The sequence below is a fragment of the Homo sapiens genome, chromosome 15 (assembly GCF_000001405.40).
Source record: "Homo sapiens chromosome 15, GRCh38.p14 Primary Assembly".
Classification (NCBI taxonomy): Eukaryota; Metazoa; Chordata; class Mammalia; order Primates; family Hominidae; genus Homo; species Homo sapiens.
This window is the reverse complement of record NC_000015.10, coordinates 80,525,127-80,552,968: the sequence shown is the minus strand read 5'-3', so window position 1 is coordinate 80,552,968 and position 27,842 is coordinate 80,525,127. Positions and strand designations below refer to the sequence as shown.

Genomic DNA, 27,842 nt, shown 5'->3' with positions numbered 1-27,842 from the left:
GTTAAGTGGCACAAGTGTTTACAACGTCTTTTCTTGCCTTGGAAGGATATCTATCGTTCTATCTAGGCAGGGTATATGGGTCTTTATGATGTTTCTCCACATGGCCATTGTGTTGTATCTCAAATGAAGTAAGAATGTTTTAAAAACAATTAAATCTCTAGTCAATTGCCATAGGCTCAAAACTATCTACTCACCTGGGGTTGGTAGCCAATCACACTGATACATCTTGGATCCACAAATGTGATGATTCCATCGGAGTTATGCCGGGATAAGAACTCTGTGGGCACCGACATCCCATTCATGTCCATGCATACAGGAGAGCTGGTCACCTGGGATGGGGAAAATCCACAGTTGAGGTGGTGTTGACAGAGACGAGATGGAGATGGTGACAGAGATGAGAAGAATAATCCATGTGCATTTCACTTCAAAGATCCTTCCATGTCATTTAGTACGATGACCCTAAAGTGTTCAAATATCTATCCCTGGTCACATCTTTAACTGTAACAGTTGGCCACTTTCTTTACATTTCTGAACTTCAGTTGCCTTATCAACCAATGGGAATAATAAAACCTATAATCTCACAGGGCATTTGTGAGCCTTAAAAGGGATATTGCATGTTAAACCTTGGCATTTGCTCAAGTTGGTGCTCAATAAATGTTAATCCCCTTCTCTTCCCCCACCTTCCCTTTACTAAGGATGGCAAACGAGCCTAAGGAACTAGTTAAAATACTTGGAGCATATATATTTGTGAACTGAATTTACCCAAATATTCTTTCTTCACCCATGTGCAAGCAATACCCATACATGGATGAAATTACCTATTCATTTGTCTGAAAATGGTCAGAACTAGGAAACCAGGGATTAGTGTATCTGAACCAGGTCTAGTATGTCTCTCCTCTTCAGCATGGGGAAGACCCTCAATGTCCTAGGGAGAATGAACAGTCCAGTTGAATGAGTGGTTACTGTGTGTGCCAGACATTGAGCAAATTTAACCTTCACACAATAAAAGACACGTTCCCTGGCCTTGAGGAGCTTGCGGGGATGAGCATGCACTCAACTTACTACCTGCAACAGACAGTGAAAGAAGAGTAACTGAGGGTAGAGCTCAGTGCTATGAGAATAGGGAGGAGAGAAGGATTGATTTAGACTAAGATCAGGGAGACATTTTAGTTGGGTCTTGAAAGATGAGCAGATAAGGAGGATAAGGAACATTGAAAGGAGAAGAAGGAGAACAAGGAAATACCAGGCAGAAGAAACAGCCTGTGAACACCCGTAGAGGTGGGGGTTTATAGAAAGGGGAATGGTGCTGTGTGGGAATAAGATGTGAGAGAGGAAGAAGGCAAGGAGATAAAGTTGTAATGATGAGCTTGGACTTCATCCCATAGACTCTGGGGAAACAGTCAAGGGGGTTAAGCAGGGATGTGATGTGAGCAGAACGCAAGTTTGTGGCAACCAGCACAAGCATGGGGGATGAACTGATGCAACCCCTCAATTCAGTAAGAACTCTGCTTACAGCTCACAGTCCCCTTCTCTTCTAGATTTGGCCTCAGCCTTGTCCCACAGAGTGAGACACGAAACCCAACAAATACCAAGAACACAGGTGATCAGAATAGGCAGCCAAACCGACAGTCTTCTGCACTTTGTGGCAATAAGCCTTCATTTAAGATTAAAAAGGCTACGAATTTTTTCTTACCTGGAGTCTCCCAATTGCCACGAGGCAATATTTACTGCCTTGTCCCACATCAGCGTCTTCTTCAGGTATGGTCATTCCTGAAATGGGAAATACCTGTGTCATCAACAATATGCCCAAGGTGAATGGGAAAGAAGAAAAGTGTCCACGATTTTATTTAAGCAATCGAAAATACAGTGAGTGTTGGCCATGCAGGGCTGGGAAGCCAGCCAATGAATTAACCAGTTCCTCACTCAGTTCCTGCTTCTCTCTGCCTGATGTCTTTTGATAATTTTATGGTACATTATCATCTCCATCTGTGGATGATGCAGAGGAAATTAAGGAAGATGAAATGGAAATAGTTATTCTGTACACTTGTACAACTTGGACAAAACATTTATTTAGGATATTTCAGTAAGAAGCCAATATGGGTCTTTCAGCTTATGTAAATATCTCTCTTATCTGCTGACAAAGAATGAAACAAAGACCATCTGAGGCAAAAGAAACACAAGTAAAAACCACTGAAGCTGGTTACTAACTTGTCAGGCAAGGGAGCACAACCAGTGTTTCCCCTTGTAGGGGGAAGTCAGGGTTGTTTAAGGGCTAGAAAGGAGACACTGGTGATGGTTATGCTAAGCACTGAAAACTAGTGCTCCAGATAGAAAGGAACTGGTTAAAACAATCCTCACTCTTCACAGGGGTTAGAAAACAGTCTTCTGTTTGGTCCAATGTGGGTCTGGTATCTGGGGTCCTTCACAGTGCAAGGTTCTTAAACATCTGCAGTTGGTTAGAACTGTCGTAGTGAAAACAAGCATTCCTTTTTGATACCTCATAGGCAAGTGCTGTTAAGTAGAACATTTCCTTTTACACTGCATGACACTTAACGCAAATATTTCCACACTGGGTCGGACCAAGGGTTCACAGTGATAGAGTCACACAAGTACAGTGACAGCCCCTCACTCCAGACATTGATAAGAGCACGTTAAATATCACTATGGTTTTGTGAGCCGGAGAAATGTCACTCTCACTACACTACATTCTGTCTTCTTTCCATCCTTGTTCCATTCACCCTCTGTAGGTGACCAGTCTCTTTCATTTCTGGTTTATCCTTACTGCATTTCTTTTGCACAAATGTGCAGATACATGTACACTTTCTCATGTCCTCTTCTTTCTTCTATGAAGAGCTGTTTACTGTAGACACTCTTGGGCTTTGCTTACTTCACTGAACACTATGTCCTGGAATTCACTCCATATTCATTCATACAGCTCTTCCTCAATTCTTTTTTATAACTGCACACTGCTTCATCTTATTGATGTGCCATGATTTATTCAACCACTAAATACTGGACGTTTAGGTGTTTCCAATATTTTGCAATGAGAAACAATGCTGCAATGAATAACCTTGTGCATATGTGTTTTATTATCATCAGAAGTGCGTTTTCGGAGTGGATCCCTAGAAGTGGGATTGCTGGGTCAAAAGGTAAGTGCATATGTAGTTTTGTTTTGCCAAACTTTCCTCCAGAAGGGTTGCACCAATTTGCATTCCCACCAGGAATGTATAGGAGGTCTGCTTCCCCAGAGTCTTGGCCAACAGAATGTGCTGTCACATTATTTAATGTTTGTCAGTCTGACAGGTGAGAAGTGATTTCTTAGTGTTGTCCTAATTTGCATTTCTCTAATTATGAGTGAGTTTGAACATTACTTTTTATGTTTGAGGATCATTTTTTATATCTTGTTTTTTAGTGAATTGTCTGCTTCTGTCTCTTTCCCATTTTTCTATTTGGATCTTTTGCCTGTCCATTTTTAAGAGTTCCCTGTATTTGGGATATTAAATCCTTGCGGTATATGTTATGAATATGTTCTTCCAGATGGTCCCCTGTCTTTTGACTTTGTGGTGATTTAAAAATTTCAAAAATTTTATGTGGTAAGATTTATCAACCTTTTTTTACCTCTGGAGTCTGAGTCATAGTTAGAAAGCTATTTCTTACACAAAGCTTAAGGAAAAATTCACTCTTGTTTTCCTCTGATACTTTTATGGTTTTATTTTTCACATTTAGATCCCTAATCCATTCAGAGTTATTCTTTTGGGAGTTTTGGGATATTAATCTAATTTTATCTTTCTCTAAATAGCTATCCAGTTGCCCCATCAACATTTTCTTAAATTGCAGTGATTTGAGATGCCAACTTTATCATATAATTTCCATACATGTTTGGGTCTAATTTTGGACTGTCTCTTCTATTGCACTGCCCAATTGTCTATTCAGGCACTAGTACCATACTATTTTAATTATAGAGGCTTTATTGTATGTTTTAATGTCTGGTAGGACTATTCGTTGTATTTTTTCTTGGCTATTCTTGAAGGTATGTTTTTCCACAGGAACTTTGATAGTACCAACTTATCTGACTCCATAAAATAGCTTGATAATATTTTTATTAGGATTGCATTGAATTTGTAAATTAACTTCAGGAGAACTGACATCTCCTGAAGTTACAATGTTGAGTTATCCTCCCAAGAACAAAGGATGTTTTCTCATTTGTTTAAACCTACTTTTGTGTCTTTCAGGACTGTTTTCAAATTTTCCTCATATATACTTGTACTTTGTGTACTCATTAAAATTATTCCTAAGTATTTAATCCTGTTTTTACTATTGTAAATGTGGCTTTCTCTACCATTATAGCCTCTGTTTATTGTTTATGTATATGAAGGCTATTGATTTTCATATATTAACCTGAATTATTTGTTTCCGTTTTATCACTGATTCACTAGGCTTTTCCAGGTGTAATATTATATAATCTGAAAACAGAGACAGTTTTCCTTTTTCTTTGTGCATTCTTTTGCCTCTAATTTCTCTTGTTTAGTTGTATGGGATAATATGTCTATTATAATTGTGAATAGTAGTAGAGATAGTGGGCATTATTGCCTTGTTTCTGATCTTAGTGGAAATGTCTCAGGGCTTTCTCCATTAAATATCACCTTTTGGACTAAGATATAACATGCACGCACACACATTTATCATATTAAGTAATTATCCCTCAATTATTGTTTAGCATTTTTGCAAATCTCTTTAATGCCTTGGTTAATAATGGACAGCTGGATTCTAATATCTGCTCTGCACTCAATCTGCTACAATATGTTGTTTTAGTTGAGGCATATGAAGAAAATATGGCCTCACACAGATATGGAAAAGAGAGAAAAAGGGGAAGCTTTTTCAGAATACTGAGTATATTCTCCTTTGGTATTTTTCCAAATCTTGACAAGTGTTAGTTTCTTAAAGGCTAATTGTAATATAAAATCCAAAACTATATGAATGAATTTTTCATACTGTCATATTGTAATATTCAATACAATATTAAAATAGGCTAGTTTGTCTAACACTTTAGATAGATCTTTTACCCATCACATAATTTTACATACTATGTATTGGTCATTTGGAAAATACTAGTTCACCGTATTATACAGACCTTCTAAATGTTGACACATTGCATTATACAACATTAAAAAAAACTGCACTTGTTAATACCACCATGTATCTCATCAGAAACATCTCTAGATACTGGTCAAAATTATGGTGACAGATACAAGCTTTCCAAAACTCAAATTTTTATTAGAAAATCTGAATTTTACCACTGACAACAAATACTGTCAATTGTTTTCCTTGAAGTGACAAGTTCAATTTTTTTTGAGAAAATATCTGCTAAATACATAAGTTATAATAACCACCATTTGTTTGTTAGTCATTCTTTCAAGCAAAAACTATGTTCCATGGAAAAAACACCTAGTTCAGCTCACAGCCCAAAGGAAGCATACATGCTTTCCCCTGACACAATCCCTGTGCTTTGGTATGCTGCAGAAGTTGCTTTATGCAAGTTTTCCATCCGGGGCTTAATACAACTCATAATTTTTACTGCCTCTTCAGGGACATTCTTAAGTGAAGCCGGCATTTAAACATTTTTAAATTATTTTTTAATTGCAAGTGTGTAGTGATAAAGAATACAATGACCACCAGGACAGCTTGGTATCACTGCTTTGATTCACGCTAAGGCCCAGCAAGTTTACCCACCAATGCTTTTTACGCCATCAGCGCAAATGTTGACACACAGAAAGCAGCAAATAACATCTCAGTGTTATTATGAGAATAGTTTTAACTTTGTGTGCCCTTGAAGACGTTTCAGGGACTCCCAGGGTCCATGGACCACACCTTGATAACTGTTGCTGCTCTATGCATTGCCATTCCCCAGAGTTTTATACCTCATCTTGTCTCTTTTTATATCATTTTTCCATTGCCTCTATTTCTTTCTTTCCGTTTATTGTTTTGTTTTGTTTGGTTTTTTTTTTTGAGATGGAGTTTCACTCTGTCGCCCAGGCTGGAGTGCAATGGCGTGATCTCGGCTCACTGCAACTTCCACCTCCCGAGTTCAAGCGATTCTCCTGCCTCAGCCTCCTGAGTAGCTGGGATTACAGGCGCCTGCCACCGCACATGGCTAATTTTTGTATTTTTAGTAGAGACGGGGTTTCACCATCTTGGCCAGGCTGGTCTTGAACTCCTGGCCTCATGATCCACCTGCCTCAGCCTCCCAAGGTGCTGGGATTATAGGCATGAGCCACCGCGCCCAGCCATTGCCTCTATTTCTAACCATACATTTATGAGACCCAAGACTATGTCTCTAGTCGAGATGTTCCTTTGCAGTTCCAGATCTTGCCTTCACTTACCTACTGAAAATGTCTACCTCAGTCTCACAGGTCTTTCAAAATCGTGCCCAAATCTCTCTACCAAAACATCCTCCTCTTTCTGCTCTCCATGGAAAAGACCACTAGTGACATACATCATTTACATTCTCTCCTTCCATGCTAAGGAACCTTGATTTATTCAGAGCGGCAATGTGCCTGCTCCATTAGAGTTAGAGGTGTTCAACTGACATGGCTCTGGCCTATCAGATGGATGCAGAAGTCATGAGCATGGCTTTTGGGAACACTCCTTTCCATATGAAACATAGATATGACCGGGGAGTGCTAGCAGCCATCTCGAAAGGCAGGAAAGCCAGGGTCACACAATAACGATTGTGGAGTGAAAGCTGAGAGAAGGAGTCCTTGCTTACATCACAGAATCATTGTACTAACTCTAGATTGTCTACCTTTGGATATAAAATAGATTTATTTAAGGCCCTGATATTTGGGATTTTCTGTTATACGCAGCAAAACTCAATCACTTACTGGTATACATTCTAATCTCTATTAGAAGCAGCACTACCAGCAGTAACATCTGTCACTTAATTAGACTGACCAGCAGCCAAACCTACGTCTTACTTGAAAGAAATCCTCCTTTATGAGTGATCATGGTGGAAGACGGTATACTAGCTTCCACTCTGGAAGTCAAAGAAGCTAGATTTTACCTCCCTGTATCCTTCCGGGGTGAAGGGATGGTTCAAATTCATCAGCAGAACAAAGCACAGTGTCCTGAGCAGGCTGCTGCTACTAACAGATATTCCCTGGGCTTCATGCTTCTTTAACCCATGGAAGCTGCCTAGGTTTCTGTTCATTTTCCAAAGCTGGCCCCCTTTGAATGATGGGACTCATTAACATTTATCTAAGAATTCTCTTTTTGCTAATGACATCTAGAGTTGTCTTCTGTTATGTATTAGTGACTGCATATCTCAGGTTAGAAATCTTAGCATCATCCTGCACTATTCCTTCCTCTCACCAGTTGCATATCAATGGACACCAAACCTGTCTGCTTCGACTTCAGTTAGCTCTCCAATCATCTCCTCTCTACCCTGTCGTCTATATCACTCCTAGAAGTTGGCCACACCATTCCTCTGCAGGGAATAAACACAAATCAAAAGTCTTCATTCCAGCACACATGGCTTTTCATGACATTTACCATGTACCTACAGTTCCTCCAAACACCAAATACCAGTCAGGACTCACATGAACAGCACACATGTGCCTTTAAGGATGTCCAGTTTCTTGCCCCTCAGGAATTTAAAGAGCCCTGCCCTCTTTCAAGAGGACCAGGTGATTCTAGAATGATGAGTTGGGCTGGGCAGCAGCACACTCAGCTGACTAAAGAGCTAGCTCTGAAAGCACAGAAATAACTTACAGTAGGAGCCCCAAAGCAATAAGGAAGAAGGTGTTCTCCTGCTCAGTAGATGGACAAGGGTTACTGCCCCAAGGTCTGAGATGAAGGAAGATAGGATTCCACATGGCAATGGAGTTTCAGGGTAGGAGGTGTCCTTAGAAGACACTGAGCCCAACACCCTCATGAGACTTCAATCCCATGTCCATCTATTGCTGCTTGAACTCCTCCAGTGGTGGGGTGGTCACTATAGCCCCAGACAACTCAGTCTATCTATCTCCTTGAAGATTTCGCCTGCTGGTCCTGGACTTGCCCTTAGAGTCATACATTCTTCTGCTGTGTAGCCCTTTAGACAAGTGAAGAATATGACTGAGTTTCTGAGTCTTTTCCGTTCTGGGACAAACATCCTTCCATCATTTAAACTGTTCTTCCTACAAAAATAGTTTGCCTCTCTATATTCTTGTCACATTTCTGAATATGTTTCTGATTGCCTCTATTTCCCTAAAATGTGCCCACAGTACTTTAGGTGTGATCATTACAGAGGCCTTTCACATCCTCTGGTCTGTAAGCCTGGCTTACTGATAATAAATGAAGTGCATTCAGGAAGCAAGGTGTGAGTTATGCTGACAGTTCCCCATAACCAGAGCAACTTTTATTTAGTCGTTGCTTTTTAAATCACAATGGAGTTATGCTTCCAGCCAAGATGAAATAACAGATCAGATTTACCTTCTTGTCAGAAACAAACACACACAAACAAAGAAAAAAACAAAACAAATGCAAGAAATGATGGTTTAGAAGACACTAGATATCAGGCAATGAACAAGAGCAATCCCTGAGAAATGGGTAACAAATACGACAAGCCTGGTGACTGCCCCTAGCTCACAGCCTTAAGAGAGTTTTCAAGCCAGCAACTTAAATTTCACAATGTCTAGCATCAAATAAAAAATTACCAGGCATGAAACAAAGCTGGAAAATACAACCCATAATGAAGGAAAACAGACCAAGCTGCCAAAACATGACGCAGAACTGACACAGATTTTAGAATTAGCAAACAAACACATTAACACAGTTATTATAACTGCATACTAACAGTTAAGTAGAGCTGTGGAAGAAGCAAAAGGACCCAAAGCAAACTTCTGGAGATGAAAGCTACAATGTCTGACATTTTAAAAATGTACTAGATGGGGCTGGGTGTGGTGGCTCACACCTGTAATCCCAGCACTTTGGGAGGCTGAAGTGGGCAGATCACTTGAGGTCAGGAGTTTGAGACCAGCCTGACCAACATGGTGAAACCCCGTTTCTACTAAAAATACAAAAATTAGCCGGGCATGGTGGCACGTGCCTGTAATCCCAGCTACTCAGGAGGCTGAGGCAGGAGAATCACTTGAACGTGGGAGGCGGAGATTGCAGTGAGCCGAGATCAGGCCAATGTACAACAAAGTGAGACTCTGCTCAAAAATAAAGTAAAATAATAAAAAATTAAAATGTACTAGATGGTATTAATTGCATATTAGACAAGGTAGATTAGTAAACTTGACATAACAATAGAAACAATCCAAAATGAAAGATAGAAAGTAATAAAAATGTTCTTTTTCAATAAAATGAGTATCAGTGATCTCATTGGAAAACTTCAAGTGGCCTAATACACTTAAAAGTCTGTGAAGGAGGAGGGAAGGAACATGGAAAAACATTTGAAGAAATAATGGCTGACAATTTTCCAAATTTGATACAAAGTATAAATCTTTGATAGCAAGTATATCCCATCATGACACGGGATACTGTCAGCTTGAAATGAGAATGAGCTCATACAGAAGTGCCCACTGTAGCTGTGGCTGAAATCAGAGTTGGGCCACATGGATATGAAAGTGGAAGCGGACACCACAAGGACCTGTTAGAGTGATCTAATCTCTCTGACCCTCTGTTACCTTATACATAAAATGGGTATCAGAATGCTCACCTTATGGGATGCTAGAAAGATGTGTGTGGAGCACCCCACCTGAGGCCTGAATGTCAGCTTCCTTCTCATTTACCTGACCTGCTTCCCCAGTTGCTGGTAAACATATGTTTGTGGGCAAAGAAGGCAAGAGGCATATACGCACTTTTCTTTTTTTTTTTTTTTTTTTTTTTTTTTGACCGGGTCTGGCTCTGTTATCCAGGCTGGAGTGCAGTGGCGCGATCTTGGTTCACTGCAGTCTTGACCTCCCAGGCTCAAGCCATCCTTCCATGTCTGCCTCCTGAGTAGCTGGGACCACAGGCAGGTGCCACTACACTGGCTAATTTTTTTTGTATTTGTTGAGATGGGGTTTCACCATGTTGCCCAGGCTGGCACAAATGCGCTTTTGCCATACTTAGGAATCAGGAATCAATGCCACAGGCCAGGCAGGAAGCAGAGAAAACAGCATAAAGAACCCTCTAATCCAGCTGGCATAAAGAAAATGATGTTCTTCTCAGTCCTATCCTTTGGAGGGATCTTTCGGTAATAGGGTCTGACTGGCTAAAACTTGAGATCATCTACCTAGAGATAACAAACTCCAGTTCCTTCATTTGTTCCTCATTCAATGAGCATCAATGAAGAACTTCCGCAGATTTTTTTAAATACCCATAAATTTTCTTTATATTCCTTCCATCAAGGGTTGAAGTTAGATTCCTCTGCAACTATTTGACCAATAAAATACAGTGGAAGTGACACTATGTGACTTCTAGACTAGCAGCTCAGATATTGAGGAGCAGAAACATGCCATCCTACTATACCCTGTCTAATTCCTAATGCACAAAATCTATGAATATAATAAAATAGTGGTGGTTTTATGCAAATCAATAAAATAAAATAATTCTCAATTGTAAGTTTCATCAGCCTAGAAGTGAATAGAAAGAGACTTGATGGGGGCCCTAAGATACCAGTCCTTTAAGCACATAAGGGAGTTCATCTGTAAGAATGCATTTTAATCAACCAAGTAGAATAATGTTAAAATAACAAGCTGGCTTTACAGAAGTGAAGTGGGAAAGCTGCAACTTACTAAAAAGTTTATGTCTTAATATGGGCAAAAAATGTTTAGTTGTGAATGAGATTCAAGTGTGTGTATGTAAAATTTCCAGAATGTCTTCAGTAAATTCAAATTCATTAACGGAATGAATGCTTTATGTGCCTAAGTGTGATGTTCTCAGGACACTGGGCTCAGCTTCCCTGTGGAAGGGATGTCATCTAAGTCAGAAGGGCCAGCATTTGTAAAGGAGGCCCTGACACCAACACTGACGAGCAGCCACAGAGATCCAACTGCCAGTGAACCTGTGGCCATTGCCACTCACGTGACCAGGGTCTTGATGGATGACTGCAGGAAGGCAGTAGGGGAGGGCTCTGCCATTAGCAGGTGGAAAAGATTTAGGATTAAGTTCACACATGCTGTTTGTGACAAAATGCCTCTACGACAGGGCAGGACTGTGCAATCTACATATTGTCATCTGGATATCGGATGTCTTTCTATCTTCCAAGCATTGTTTGCACAATATCCTCTAACAGTACATGACCTTTAAAAGTGGGTTTTACTCCTACTACTCAATAACAAAAACACAAATATCCTCAATTAAAAAATGGTCAAGACGGATTAAAGATTTAAATGTAAGACCTAGAAGAAAATCCTAGGAAACACCATTCTGGATATCAGCCTTGGGAAAGAATTTATGACTAAGTTCTAAAAAGCAATTGCAACGAAAAAAATTGACAAGTAGGACCTAATTAAACAAAAGAGTTTCTGCAAAGCAAATGAAACTATCAACAGGGTAGGCAGACAGCCTACAGAATGAGAGAAAATATTTGCAAACCATGCAACTAAAAAAGGTCTAAGACCCAGAATCTATAAGGAACTTAAACAATTCAACAAGTAAAAACCAAATAACCCCATTAAAAAGTGGGTAAAATATATGAACAGACACTTCTCAAAAGAAGACATACAAGTAGCCAACAGACACATGAAAAAATGCTCAACATCACTAATCATCAGAGAAATATCAAACAAAACCGCAGAGATACCATCTCACACCAGTCAGAATGGGTATTATTAAAAAGTCAAAAAACAACAGATGCTGGCAAAGCTGCAGAGAAAAGGGAATGCTTATACACTGTTGGTGGGAATGTAAATTAGTTCAGCCACTGTGGAAAGCAGCAGTTTGGAGAGTTCTCAAAAAACTTAGAACTACCGTTTGACCCAGCAATCCCATTACTGGGTATATATCCAAAGGAAAATGTAAATTGTTCTACCAAAAAGACATGTGCCCTCATCACAGCATTATTCACAATAGCAAAGACATAAAATCAATCTAGGTGCCCATCTAGAGTGGACCAGATAAAGAAAATGTGGTACATATACACCGTGGAATACTACATGGCCATAAAAAAGAATGAAATCATGTCCTCTGCAGCAACATGGATGCAGCTGAAGGCCATTATTGTAAATGAATTAATGCAGGAACAGAGAGCCAAATACCACATGTTCTCACTTATAAGTGGGAACTAAACATTGGGTACTCATGGATATAAAGATGGCAACAATAGACACTGGGATTACTAGATGGGGGAAGGAGGAGGGCAAAGGTTTCAAAACTACCTATTGGGTACTATACTCACTATGTAAGTGATGGGATCAACCATACCCTAAACCTCAGCATCAGCAATATACCCAGGCAATAAACCTGCACGTGTACCTACTGAATCTAAAATAAAAATTGAAATTACAAAAAAATAAAATGAGCAAAGGATCTGAATATTACTCCAAAGAAGACATACAAATGGCTAATAAGCACATGAAAAGAGCTCAACATCATTTGTCATTAAGGAAACAGAAATCAATTCCACAGTGAGATACCTCTTCACACCCATTAAGATGGCTATCATAATTTACAAAAAAACGCAATCATGTGTTAGTGAAGATACGAGAAACTGGAACACTCACACACTGCTGGTGGAAATGTAAAATGGTGCGACTATTCAGAAAACAGTCTAGCAGTTTCTCATGAGGTTAAACGTGGAGCTACCACAGGACTCAGCAATTCCATTCTTAGGTCACATCCAAGAGAAATAAAGCTATATGTCTGCATAAAAACTGGACTCTTGGCTGTTGTGAATTGTGCTGCAATGAACATGGGGGCATAGATATCTCTTTGATATATTGATTTCTTTTCCTTCGGATAAATACCCAGTAGTGGGATTGCTGGATCATGTGGTAGTTCTATTTGTAGTTTTCTGAGGAACTTTCATACTGTTCTCCTTAGTGGTTGTACCAATTTACACTCCCAAGAACAGCGTATAACAGTTTCCTTTTCTCCGCATCCTTGCCAACATTTATTATTAATATTTTTTGTCTTTTTGATAATAGCCATCCTAGATGGGGTGAGATAATACCTCATTGTGATTTTGGTTTGCATTTCCCTGAGGATTAGCAACACTAAGATAATTTTTTTCATACATTTGAGCATTTTGTTCATACATTTTTTGGCCATTTCATACTCAATCTTTGAATAGATTTTCCAGTGACTGGATTAGGTTTTTCATGTAGATAATCATGACATCTCCAACAATGTTAATTCTGTCTTCCCTTACTTTTCTACCTCTTAAGTAATTATATTTTATTTCCTTAACTTATTGGCTTGGAAATTCCAAAACATTGTTGAATAACAATGAGCATTCCTCTCAGATTCTTCACTTTTTTGAGAACCCTTCTAATATTTAATCACTCTGCATAAGATATTAATTATGGTTTCAAGTGTGTGTTTCATCTATGTTAAGAAAATATATTTCTATTATTAGTTTACAAAGATATTTCTCCATTAAAAATTAATACCTAAACTTATATTTTGTCAATAGTTTTTTTCCTTGAATTATTTACATTAGCAGATTTCCTAATGATAAACCACCCAAGCATTTTTGTCATTAGTATGTATTTCTATAACTATTAATTTGATTTGCTAGCATTGTATTTAGTATCTTTATCCTAACACATGAAATTGGGTTCATAGTTTGTAGGTTTTTGTTTCAAAGTTGTGCTAACTTCACAAATCAGTCTACTTTCTAACTTTTCTCATGCTCTGGAAGTGTTTAAATAATTTGCCCATAAAGCTTTCAAGGCCTGGAACCATTTGGGGTGCAGTTTTGTCAGCTTTCTCAATTTTTTGCCTAGCTTTGATCTTTTCTCATTAAAAAAATACAAAAGAAAAAAAATTTTTTTTGATTCAAATTTGGTTACTTCCTTCCTTCCAGGAATTAGCTTTCTTTTGAAAAGTTTTGACACATAAAAATCTAAGTTATGCACACTATTTGTTCATAAACTTTTAAACTTTGTTAAATTGATTTATTCTTAATATTCATTTATTTTCATTCTTTTTAAAATTACAATAGACTTGTCAGGGATTTTCTCTTTTACCAGTCTTGATGAAGAATTATTTATCAATTGGATAATACTTTGGTTTTCTAATTTAATTTTTCTTATTTTTACTTCTTTTATTAATTGCTTCCTCTCAGTTTGCCTATGGCATTCTATTATTCTTTTTCTATTTTCATTAGTTAATAATTCATAAGTAAAATTTTTAGTTTTCCCACATTTAATAATAAAAACATTTTAAGCCACAGGTTTCCTCTAAACATTGTTTTGGCCACATCCCCTTGATATGGAGTGGGGCCATGGTTTTAATTACAAAATAGTCCATATTTAGTGTTTTGATTTCCATCCTTCACCAGAAGCTAGTTGGGACAGGTTCCTTTGTACAAATAACTGATTTTTAAAAATGTAACTTTTTGTTATGAATTTTTAGATTTATTGCACTGGGATTAAAAAAATGGGCTTTCCAAGTTCTATAAGTTTGAGATTTACTAAAATTTTGAAAATCCATTATTAAAATGTTAAAATTTGACATTGAATATCTATGCATGTGGAATCAAGATTATTGGCCATATTATATAATCCTCTAAATCCTCATTTACATTTCAATGGCTTCATTTGTCAAAATCTGAAAAAAGTACATTAAAGGTATAATGCAAAAGGTGGTTTATTTAATTTCTTCTTGTATGTCTAATAGTTTTGCTTCATATATTTAAATATTATAAAATTTCATGACTTCTTTGTTTTACTATGAACTCTTCGTTTTGGCAATATAAATATACCTTTCCATTTCCATTAAACACATTCTGTTTCAAATTTACTTAGCTCAACATAAATATTCCTTCATCTTCACATGGCATTCTCCTTGTGTCCCACGTCTGTGTCCAAATTCCCCCTTTTATAAGGACATCAGTCATACTGGATTAGGGACTCACTCTAATAGGTAGGTATGACCTCATCTTAACTAACTATATGCAAAAAGACCCTATTTCCAAATATGGTCACATTTTGAAGCACTGTTATAAATAGTTAGACAGGTAGGGGTGGGGCAGGAGAGGGCTCCCCCTGCAACCCCTCCTGCCAGGGATGTCAGTGGTAACACGGGTACCTTCCACCAGTAACTGTACTGGAGGTTGGGACTTCAACATAGGAATTTTTGGAGGTACACAAATATTTTATATGTTTATTCTTGCCCTTTTCTCTACCAGGTCAGGCATGGCAGGCGTACAGCACAGGAACTGAGAGAACCTGCTCCTGTATCCATGGCAGGCATCACAGATTGATCATGGACATTTTCCCACTAGTTACAGAAGCAGATCCTAAACAGTTAATCAAAACATATCATGAAATCAAACCTACTTGTCATTAAAAATATTTAGTGTTTTAATATAAAGTTGTATAAATTCTCTCAATAATAATTAGGTTAAAATTTTAAGTAGTGATATTGGTAAACCTGGGTACCTTCTGGTGAGGTACTGCAGGGGGTATAACTGGGAGATGCCAAGAGGAATTTAGTCGCCATTCACCAAAATTCCTGCTGTGTTCTAAGTTCTGTGTTCAGGAGTTTAAATAATATGGTCCTTGTCCTCTTGGACTGCCAGGTAAGCAGAGGAGACAAACAGATGCAAAAATGGCCATAATACAACGCAGGAAGTGAGAAAGTCCATACAAACCAAGTGGCTGAGAAGCTGGTGGCAGAACTGGTGAAGGTTCCTTGGAGCAGGACTCATCAGAATTGGCCTTTGTACATTTGGTGGGACCAGCAGAGCCTGCGAAAAGAGTGCTCTGGGCTGAGGATGAAAGAGTGCTCTAGGTTTAAGGGGGAGGGAGGGGCAATGTCATGTAATGATGGCTCTGGCACAGTCACACTGAACATCACCCTGAGGCCACCAGCTTGAGGCTTTGAGCACCCCTGCAGTCAGGTCAGGGCAGAGGCTCCTCCATAGCCTGTCATGTAAGATAAATGACCACAAAAGCACTTCATTCATCTGGAAATTACCCCTTTACAAATCTCAGCTGACAGGAACAAGGTCTCTGTGCAGCCGTGACAGATGCCCCAAAGGCCAAGCACTAAAACCTAGGATGCTTCACTCAGGAAAGTCAGCTGGTTCCTGACTCACAGCCTGTTTTGCTTCCTTTTACCCATGATGCTGATACAGGAGTTAAGAAGAAATTATTTAGGCAGATAGTGGGGGTAAGGAAGTCCTCGGTAAGGTTTTCCTTTAATGAAAAGCAGCTCCCAAATCATTTTCTTTTCTAACAAAGAACAGCTTGTAAAATTGAGCTGCAGACATAGACAAGGAAGCTGGAAGCTTGCACGGGTGAATATCAGCAGCTGTGTCAATACGAAAAGGGTACCTGGGGGCTACACATGTCCAATAGGGTGGCTCCATCTTCCCCTTTCCTTGTCAACCAGGTGCACAGTAAGGGGCAGGCAACATCGCACTGGCCAAGTAGAGATCCCATTTGCATAATAAAAGATTAGGGTGGGGTGGCCAGATTCCTGGCAAGCTATGTAAACGTCACACCTGGTCCAACCAATCTTCAGGCCTTGTGTAAATCAGACCCTGGCTCCTCAAGCCTGTCTATAAAACCCTGTGCACTCTGCTGGTCCCACTCGGGCACCCCTGTCTCACAGGAGAGAGAACTGTTCTCCTTTCTCTTTCTTTTGCCTGTTAAACCTCTGCTCTTAACCTCACTCCACGTGCCTCTGTGTCCTTGATTCCTCAGCATGAGGCAACGAACCTCGGGTATTTACCCCAGACAACCATGCTGCTTCAATGCCAGCAAGTTGTGCTGTTTGGTTTTCTAGACCATAATAAAAGGATGTGATTGGATTGGGTCGGTGTAAAAGCAGACATGCAGAGAGAAACAAGAAGTGTCAGCTACCAGCAGGAGGTAGGACAGCAAATCCTTACATAAAAAGACATAAAAATAACTGAAAAACAAACAACAAACAAAACAACAAACACCACAGGGACATGGGCTGAAAAGCTTCACGTACTTGGAAAAGCCCCGAGGACATCTCTGAATGGAAAGCTCTGCGTTTGTAATGAGTGCTCTGAGTAAACAGAGAAAGAGGAAAGCATGTCCGGGGCCTTTTATTTAAACAGACAAAAAAAAAAAAAACCTGTGTGATGCAAAACAACATAAGCAAAATTAAAAGACAAAGACAGGTTGAACGGAAATCTTTGTAGCACATACAGTAATCAGACAGCTAACCTTCATAATGTTTTAAAGACCTCATAGGAGAAAATCAGAAAAGCACAAATCCCCCAGTAGAAAAATGGGCACACAGCATGAACAGGCAATTCACTAGGAAATAGACAGCAAATATATCCAGGGAAGATGCTCAATTTCACTAATGAAGAAAATCTAATTTAAAATATGTCATTCCTCTCCCCCACAAACTATCAGACTGGCAAAACTGACAAAAGAATAAAAACATCTAGAGTTAGTAGTGTAACAGTGAAACAGCAAAATAATGAACATAACGGACTCCATTTTTGTTTAAGAGGCCTTTACCCATTCCTGCCTGTAGGCTAGGAAGATTTTAGAGCACTGACATAACGATTGCAAAAACAGCAATCACGTGTTTTATAAAACTAACTCTGGGACTAAAGGAGAAATATGTAAACAACTAACTATGTTTTTGTTAAAGATTTGTAGGAGCATTGTGACCTGACCAAGCACAAAAAAGTTCCCAACCTCATTGGATCCTTGCTCCCAGATGTCTGCGGTAGTCCATTATCTCTTGATCCTACCCACCTCCTCTTCCTCCTGCCCTGAATGTAGAAAGAGCCTAAAATTTGTACTGACTTCAGATGGTACTTTAGGATGCTGATCCACCATCTTCCTGATTTGTTGGGTCTCTGAATAAATCTGCTGTTCCTCCCACTAAATCTTGTCTCTCCTGTATGGCTTTTGAGTAGAGAACGGCTGAACCTGGGTTCAGGTACAGTAGGAGTGTGGGAAAAAAGGTATACCTATCCTGTTCGGCAGGGTAACTACCAAAACTTAAATGTATCATTCCTATAGCACTTCTTAGCTATCTTCAGAAATACCAGTATTCATGGATAATGATTCAAATGCGAGGACGTCCACTGCAGTATCTTTTGCAAGAGCTGCAGACTGAAAACAAGATTCATGTTCCCAGTGGGGAATGGCTGGCAGAATATTATGCAGCCATTTAAAGGAACAAGGTAGAATGAATTAATACAAATCTGTATTCATTTGGAAAGGTATTTATGACATCCAAAATAAGCTAAAAAGAAACAAGACCATGTAGTAAAATATACATGAGCTCCATTTTTTAAATACAAAAGTCTAGAACGAGAAGTGCTAGAATATTGTCAATTGGTTTTTAGGGGTTGGACTAGGGTAGGAAGGGGGACTATTCATAACCTTTTAAAAATTTAAAAGCAAGTTCAGTTTACAAGTAATTTTTACTTTATTTCGCAAAGTTTTCTATATCTTTCAAGTTTCACTAATGAACATGCACCATTTTTGTAATCATTTTCTTAAAAAGACAAAAAAAAAAGAAGGTAAGCAATGATGTTTTGGTACTTAAAAAGTTACGCTTTGCAGAGCTGGGAAATTTTCTCACGTTGTACATCATTCTCAAACAATGCCAGAAAGACGAGTGTGGTGTACCATTCCGACTCTAGAACCCTGCCCCTCAATGATCAAATTGAGAGATAACATGCCTGATGATGGTAGGAGTTTAATTCTAAAACATTTGGCAGAGTTGGAACATTTCTTTCCAAATTTACTGCCACTAAATCATGGAAATGAAAAAGCATCTTCCTTTGCCTAGAGGGGAAGTTGCAAATGAGTATTTTCTGTACAAACTTGGACTTAGAAGACAGAGCTTCATTTCCAATAAATCAGAATCTGTAAACACAGTGTTTGCTACAGGGCCATAAAAATAAAGACACAGTGAGGTGAAAAGAGGACATCAGGAAAATGGAATGAGGGGGCACAACAACTGTCCCTCTTGGGGCCTCATCAGTAAAGAAAGAAGTGGGCCAGGAGGCCCCCAGGCTTCTGCCCACTGTGTGCTTCTGAGTTAGCTTCATCTTCACTGGCACAGGAGCAGTGGGATTCAATGGGAACACAGTTGGTCATTTCTCAAGGGAGGCAGAGGAACCTAGAACCTTGAATCCTTTCCATGCCTTAGCTGTGGAATTTCATTGTTATTTTCAACTTTCAGTTGTAAAAAATTCACAGAAACCATGACATGCTTCATTGGCTGGCTTCTCCCCCATGTCTCACTTCTAGAAGCTGAAAATGCCCCTCAGAGCAGGATGGGCATCTGAAGTGTAGGGCCATGTTGCAGTCCATCTGCCACCCAACCAGTTTTGGGGCTACACCATTACTCCAACTTTCCATTACCATATTTCTGCCTGGGGCACCCCAGGCTGGCTTGTGTTGACCGTTCCTCCATGACTTTTAAAATTTGCCAACTCGTCATCCATCACAGTGGCCTCTCCAGTAGCCCCTGCGTCCTTATCCTGCTATCACCTCTCACCGCCATCAGTGTCCTTCCACTTCCTGCTCCACACTCTTCCCTGTAAGGATCAGTCTCCACCTGCCCCTGCTCCCCTTTCCCAAATTAACCAGTTCCCAAACGAGTTCCTTCCACTCAGGACCTGAGAACTGTATTCCATCCTCGCCCTTGGCTGTCTACCTCTTGTGGGCTCTGTGCTCTGGTCTGCCCCCATGGCCCTCCCTGGCTGTCAATCCCCTCCCCAACAGTGGCTGCTCCTTTCTCCAACAGCCCCTGGCCATGGAGCCGGTCCCTCCTGCCTGGTGCTGCCTCCACACAGTGCTTCTGTTCCTGGTGCTCAAAAGTCTCTTCTTGTTGCAAACTCACCTCCACTGTCCACTCCCACCACTCTCTCCTCTTCTTCCTGCTTCTCCCTGACCACTGTCTACCCAATCTCCACTTTCATCTTGTCAAAGCACAGACTTGACCATATTTGAGTCCCTTTTCAAAAAACCTCAAAGGTCTCCCACTGGTCAACAATTTCAAAGCCATTCATTCCATTTCTGAAAATGATTCTAGTGAATACTCCCTTGAAAGCACGTATCAGGATCTGTTTTGGTGATCAGCTCATCTAAATAAGAATAATGACAGTAGGACAGTTATGAAAGGCAAATATTTTTGATAGAAGAATAAAATAACTTTCTGCTACAGACGGTGGCTGAGTGCTTCTTCCTCTCTCTCCCAACAGCATGCTGGCCACTCACAGGGCCTTTTAGAAAGTGACCTGTGGCCCAAGCACATGGAGCAAAGCATGCATCTGTCCTTTGGAGAGGACTATTCGGAGCACATCAGCTGAGCTCCTCTTCATATAGGAAGACACAAATCTTTATATTTGAGATGGTGGTGATAAGATTATTTGAAGGTCAGGGACATAGGCTACCACTGTGAGGGCCTCACAATGGTACAATGAATAGCAAAACTGCCTCCAGGAAGGATCCTTTAAAGAGAAAATGGTCATCATGGCTGACACCAACAATGATGGAAGCAATGGTAGAAGACTGGGGGCAGTGCAGCTTGGGGGTCATCAAAGGCTCAAGCTCTAGGGTGACCAAAGAGGTGTCCTGACTCAGACATCCTGATTCCACCATGTACTGACTGCAAAAGACTTGGCCTCTCAAGGCTTCAGGAAATGGGAATAATAGTAGTTATTATGTGTGAAATAGGAATAACCATGGTCCTATTCTATAGTGTTGCTGTGGTCATTAGATAAGAAAATACACATTAAGCATTTAGCCTGGCACGTGGGGCTGAACACATCCAGTTCTTGTTTTCACTGTGAAGCTGATAAGGCCATCCTAGCACAAGTCAGAAGAGGTGGAGCCGCCCACTGCCGAGCTGGCTTCTTCTGTGGCTGAGCTCTGTCCTGCTGCAGGCGTCCTTTGCGGGGTGTGGGCTGTGGTCAAGGGAAAGGAAGTGCTGGGGAGCTGAGAGACGTTAGGGTCAGCTGAGATTCAGAACCTCACGGAGCTTCAGGTTCTCCATCTATAAGAGTGGCAGGCTGGACTGATCATGCCCCAGGTTCTCTTTGGCTCTGACATTCAATGAGTCCAAACTCCAGGTAAGCATCTGACACTCCACTATGGACTAGGAGTTTAGCAGTGAATGAGATCCAGCTCCTACTCAAGGATTTTACCGGTTAGTGGGGAAAACAGAACCAAATGATGAGGATGCCACATGGTTGGTGTTATAACGGAGAAAAGAACACTCTGCTTTGAGGAGGGGCACATGGCCAAGGCTGGATGCCAGGACCAGAAGGAGCCATGTCGGAAGGGAGAGCTTCCTGGCAGGAATTGCAACATTTATCAAACTGATTTTTAATATGAACAGGATAATTCCAGCTATTTTAACAGATTTTAATGATTCCCTAATTGGTTTCACAAGCTCATTGTGCCCCACATTAAATTACCTTCTCCTTGGATATACTCTTCCCTCATACCAGGTCTAAGTAAATCCTGAGTAATATAAACAACACACAAATGAAATTTAACTGGAAACTGCTGTTTGGGATGAAACTCGGCATTAGCCAGAAATGCTTCTTCATTTCTTCCCAAGGATTGCATTAACCCTGTGCAAACACTCAGGGAACAGTGGACAGTTTTTCAACAACACTGGGTGGAGGCTGTCCGGGGACTTACATTGTCACATGTGAATTGAAACATATTTTTGCATTCCACAAAACTCAGAAGGAAAAAACCACCTTCTGCTACGAGCAGAGTTAAGGGTACTTGTTCACGGCATGCATCCAAAGTATTCTCAGAGGAATATTAGTAAGTTTTGGGCAAAAAAAGCTTCTTTGGCCAAACACATTTGGGAAACATAGTTTAAACAAAGATAAAGAGATTTCATCACTGTAGAAGTCTAAGAGAATTTAATATGCAACTGTGGACTGTGGAGTATAATTATCTAGGAGGAGAATACAGACTGCCAAGTTTCCCAAATGGATTGAGCATGGAATTCTTGTATTCATGGTGTATCTACGGGGACTAATTTTGGAAGATATTTTGGGGAGTACTTATCAGTAGGTACTTTGCATTTCAGGGTTTCTGCTGGTGACCCTAAAGAAATGGATCCCCCACTTTGCAAGGCAAAGCTTTGAAGTATACCAGGTGCTTTTGGCTCAACAGATTGAACTGATACCACTTGAGTAACTACCCGTCCCTCCCCAATTTACAACAAAAATGACTCAAGTCTGAGATAGGGAGAAACATATATATCAGCCCTGGCAACCAGGGAAGGATGGCAATGGCGAGAAAACTTTGAAATATATGGTTCAGGCAAGAATGGGTGGAGGGAAGAGTCGACAAAGCCTGAATTCCCTGCATATGAGGAAAAGGCTCCAGCAAGACCAACCTACAAGCTTACAGCCACCATGGCTGAGATCAGCACAGAACACGGCATGTTGTGAGGGAGAGCAGATCTCTATCCCTCCCTCCCAGTAAGTCCCAGCAAGCAGTATGGTGGCAGAATGTCTGCGCTCACTACAGGGGGTGTTTGTGACTTTAGTTATCTTCCCACCGTCAGCCTTGGTCCTCATGTACAGACAAGTGAACCTTGGTCAGCTGACAGTAAAACTGCAGCAAAGCTAAACATTCCTCTTCTGCCCGTGTCAGGGCCTGAAATATCTTTCTGGAACCCATGTGATCATTGATGGAACCATTCTCAACTCTCAAAAGTGGACAACCACATAGTGACCTCTCGAAGTTGAGCCACATGGAAAAAAAATCACAAGCCTATGAAAAAGAAGATACCGAGTTAAGGAATTAGAGCCAATGTTTCCACTAGAAAAGGAGACTTTCTTAATAAAAAGAAAAGAGGAAAAAGCCTAAATTCAACTACTCAGTGTGACATAAGAGGACATAATATTTATGCGCAAGGCACAACCTTAATTCAGCAAAGATGGAGTTCAGATGAAATGTGTACTTGTCAAATTTTTAAGAAAATTAAACAGTAACCATGAATAGAAGATTTGGATTGAGAAATTCTCCAAGATTTTGGAGCAAAGGATAAGGAAATTAATATGATGAGCAAAAATCTAAGTGGCAGGGAAAGCAGATTTGAGAAATCAATACAGAACATCCTAAAGTGAAGAGAGCAACTGAGAAGCAGCAGCAACTCTGAAAAACCATAGATAAATTCTCCTATCGTGAAGAAAGACTTGAGTCTGCAAACCAAAACAGCCCACCGGGCAATAATGAAAATGAAGGAAAACTGACCTATACTACATTCACTTGAGTGAAAATTCTGAACTCTAAGGAAAAGGAAAAAACAACCTAGAAAGGTCATAATGAAAAAAAAAAAAGAAAAGAAAAACAGGCTATCTAGAAAAAAAATAATAAAAGCTGGTCTCAGACTTCTCTACAAAGCTAATGCTGATCTGTAGGTACTTTGCATTTCAGGGTTTCTGCTGGTGACCCTAAAGAAATGGATCCCCCACTATGCAATGCAAAGCTTTGAAGTATACCAGGTGCTTTCAGCTCATCAGAGTGAAGTGATACCACTTGAGTAACTACCCGTCCCTCCAAAACTTACAACAGAAGTGACTCAAGTCTGAAATAGGGAGAAATGTAAATCAGCAATGGCAACCAGGGCAGGCTAGCAATGGCAAGAACAGGTGGAGGGACCAAGAAGAAACCCTATGACCAAGAATTCGAGAGCAACAGGAAGAACTTCTCAACCTTGCAAGAAGTCATGAAATGAAGCACCTGCTCACCTGTCTTGTAAGAAATTATTTTAAAAATCATCCTGGCACAAATAAAATAGAATAAAACAATGGAGGGGGCATGGTGTAGATAAAACCAGGGGTAAGCAATGAAACCAGTGAAACCAACTTGGTGTCAGACTAACTGTAGGTAATGTGGCCAAGGAATTTGTTGGAAATGGCAAACCTGTTTCTTGAAAAAGATTTGTGTCTTAGTCTGTTTTGTCTTGCTATAAAGGAATAACAGAGGCTGGGTAATTTATAAAGAAAATAGGTTTGATTTGGCTCACAGTTCTGCAGGATGTATAAAAAGCACCTGCTCCTGGTGAAGGTCTCAGGGTGCTTCTACTCTGGTGGAAGGTGAAGGGGAGCCACCATGTGCAGAGATCACATAGTGAGAGAGTGGGGAGACAACAGGTTTTTTAACAACCAACTCTCCTGGGATCTAACAAGAATGAGAACTCACAGATCCCCCACCACCAGGGAGGGTATTAATATATTCATGAGCGGTCCACTCCCATGACCCAAACACCTCCCACTAGACACCACTTCCAACATTGAGGGTCCAATTTCAACATGAGGTTGTGGGGCAGGGGGTGCGCAAACAAACCACACCATAGTAGATAGATAGTTAGATGGATAGATAGATGTCAGTAGATGACAGATAGGTAGATAGATGATGGATAGATAGATGATAAATAGATAGATAGATAGATAGATAGATAGATAGATAGATAGATAGATAAATGGTCAAATATCTAAAATCTAAATTCTGGATGCAAAGCCTCAGATGACTTTCAGCTCCATTGGCAGAGTGAAGGAGGCAGCAAGGGTAATGCTTAAGCATTCAGACTCTGGAATCAGCCTCCCTGAGTGTGGATCCCAGCGTCCCCACCCGCCAGCTGTGGTCCTTGCCACCCCCGCCTGTGGCCTACTTCATCCCAGTCATCACACATCTCCCAGCTCTCATAAACTCTCCACACCCCTCCCCATGTGCACGGCTGCTGCCCTAGTTCGGCCTCACAGCTTCTCCATGGGTTATTGCATAAGTACTCCTCTTTATGGTCCCTTTGCTTTCAGGCCTATTCCTGTCCCTCCTCTCCCTTCAATCCAACTTCCAGAAGAATAATTTAAAACCTTCAGTGTAGGGAAGGCTACAAACTCCCAGGAATGTAGGGAAGGGTACAAACTCTCAGGCTTAGCACACAAGGCCCCCTCCCCAAGATCTGATGCTATCTCCCTGTCCAGCCATCTTCCCTAGCAGCCATAGTGAATTACATGTGGTTCTCAACACAGTGTCTCTCTCCCACTTTGAGAAAGCAGAAAATTATGGTAAGGGCATCAAAAAGCCTAGTTTTGCAACCCAACCTTACCAGTTACCAGCTGTGCAAACTGGGCTGATTTCTTCACTATTCCAATCCTCATGGAGATGGTAAGAGTGACTGTACCTCATTAGGGTTGTTGTGAAAATTAAAATAGCACAATGCATGGAAATGATTGAAATGATTTTTCACTGAGGCAGGCACATAGTGATCATTTGCAAATGAAAACTGGAATCATCATTACATCTCCCTTGTCCTTGTCCACACTATTTCCCATGCTTGTAATGCATTTTTTCAACCAGCCAATTCCCACATCTCCTTTGTGCTTATGTTTCAGCTCAAATGTTACTCTCTCTTTGCCTGCTAAGCTTTCAGTAGGGCTTGGCCACAGTGTGTAGCAAGGAAAAGCCAGTCTTGGTACTCCCAATTAATGGCATTTCTCTCCTACATGCATGTTTCCCCTACATGTGTCTCGGTTATGACCCTTGACCTGTGGCTTTGCAATGACCTGCAGGCCTACCTGTCTCCTCCACTGGAGGTGAGCTCCTTAAGAACAGGAACTGTGTCAGACTCACCTTAGGATCCCCACGACCTAGCAAAGTGGCTGGCCTGTGGCAAGAGCTCAGAAAGTATTTATGGAACAAAATGGAAGAGTGGCTTTGCCCTGCCTGAGAACAAAGAGGCCAGAAGACTTTGCCAATCATCACTCTCCATCTCATCAGCTAAGGTCATCATGGCTTTGATGCCTGGTGAGGTCCTGAGCAGTAGGCAGAGACCTGATGTACTCATGCCACATGGGCAGGGTGGGATGGCTGGGGGCTGGAGAAAGCAGGGGTCCAGCCAATGCCTTGTGAGTTGGTGGCCTCAATACAGACAAGCAGCTTTTGGAAATTTCCAAGTGAAGGGAAAACAAACACAATGATCAACAAGCAAACTGCAAGAAGTGCAAGGTTCTTGTAGATGAGCTCATGGCAAAACTGAGCTGTCTGGTGAAGTGACAGCACTGGCCTGACCATAGCAGATTCTAGCCAAAACCCCAAAATAACCTCAGGCCTCTGGCATGCTGTGGCCAAGGCTTACTGAAAGTCTAGCAGCAAAGTGAGGACAGGCATCATTTCACCACTAAGAAAGCACACAAGGGAGCCAACACCCGAACCTCCTCCTGACCCAGATGGTCTGGTGGGAGTTCACCTGCTCTGGGTCAAGCTGCCAGGGTCAGACCTTGGCTCTGCTGTGCAGACACACTGCCAGTTAACCTGGCATTTTCCATGGATTGTTAGGTGAGGAACCAGGCAGGTCGGACGATGGTTACTAGAAAGGAAGATTTGTTGTAGAAAAGACATTTGGCTCAAAGCTGAATGTTAGTCCATGAAATTCAAGGTGCTGGGTGATAACAATGGGGTAGAAGCAATTCACATCTTCAGGTTTTCAAAGTGTCCTTTGAACTCTGAACGCACCCCACAAAATGGAAAACGCAGCCCATCATGAGTGATTTCTGACAGAATGAACACCTGAAGCATTAGACAAGGGAGCTGATTGACTTTAGAACTCTTCCTTTTCTTTCAGTCATATCCCAAATGTTTTAAATGAAACCTATTCAGTATAAAGCCTGGTGAGGCTAATTAAGAAGGCCACTGTGTAACAGAAAGGGCTTCTGGAATGTATGAGAATACACTGTGAGATTTACATTTAACAGGGAGTCGGCAGGGAGGAGAAAGAACAACGAGTGTACAACTAACCCTCTCAGGTATAAGCAGACATGTTGCAAGTGGTTTGTCAAATAACCCTTGTTCACTCCCCAAAGTCTACCTCTGCTGCCCACCTTTAAAGATTTTTCAAGGTTGCCTTTAGATATTTTTAGCAACTTTGCTGCTCAAGAATCTTCATACTTCCTAACCAAGTTATTGTTGGTAATTAGGGAACTTGAACTCATGAGCAAGCAAGGGCAGCATTCCCCATGAACACTTACAAGGCATCATCCGATCATTGAGGGAGTTGCTGCTTCAATGCTCTAATTCTATGACCTTGTAATAGGGTAAGAGTGCCATGACCTCATTTCAGCTAACTCATCTAAGCTAGATGATTGCCTCTACCATCTTAAAAGATTTCTGGGAAAGCAGATTCTATAAACTTGTTTGGAAATCCTGGCAAGAAATTATTTCACATACCCATCCCTCAAAGTGAGTGATTTCTTTGTCTAGGCAAAAAATTCCCTTTTACCCCCCTCCCTCCCTCCTTCCATCCTCCCCTTCCTTCCTTCCTTTTGTCCATCCATCCAACCAGTCTTCATGAAATACATACTATCTGTCAGGTCTGAGCTACGCACTAGAATGAGATGATGAACAAAGCATGCCTCTTGCTCTTGAGGGATCTAAACAGTAAGCACAAAATAGTGTTATATGTGCTAAGAATGTAGTTACAATCAAGAAACAGAGTATTAATAGCCACAGAACAAGGTGGCATAGCTAGGTATCCTGTAGGCATGCTATTATCATCATGTATGGAGATGGTGTTGTTTTCCAGAACCTCTATCTTGACAGAAACATGACCAACTAAATATAAAAACAAACAAACAAAAATATACAACTTCTAAATCCAGTGCAGACCACTCAATCCAATTGTCTGGAATGCCTCTTTAGAAAATTTAGATTGATTTCGCAAAA

General features: G+C 40.7%; 1 protein-coding gene across 1 annotated transcript in view; it reads right to left on the bottom strand.

Annotated features, from left to right (window-relative positions):
* The window catches only part of ARNT2 (aryl hydrocarbon receptor nuclear translocator 2), a 193,552-nt gene that overhangs the window by 44,965 nt on the left and 120,745 nt on the right, over positions 1 to 27,842 (bottom strand). Inside the window, exons 9-10 of the mRNA NM_014862.4 lie at positions 1,694 to 1,770; positions 195 to 329 (exon numbers count right to left, since the gene is read on the bottom strand). Coding sequence (NP_055677.3) covers positions 195 to 329; positions 1,694 to 1,770 — 212 coding nt within the window. The remainder of the gene's footprint in view (positions 1 to 194; positions 330 to 1,693; positions 1,771 to 27,842) is intronic.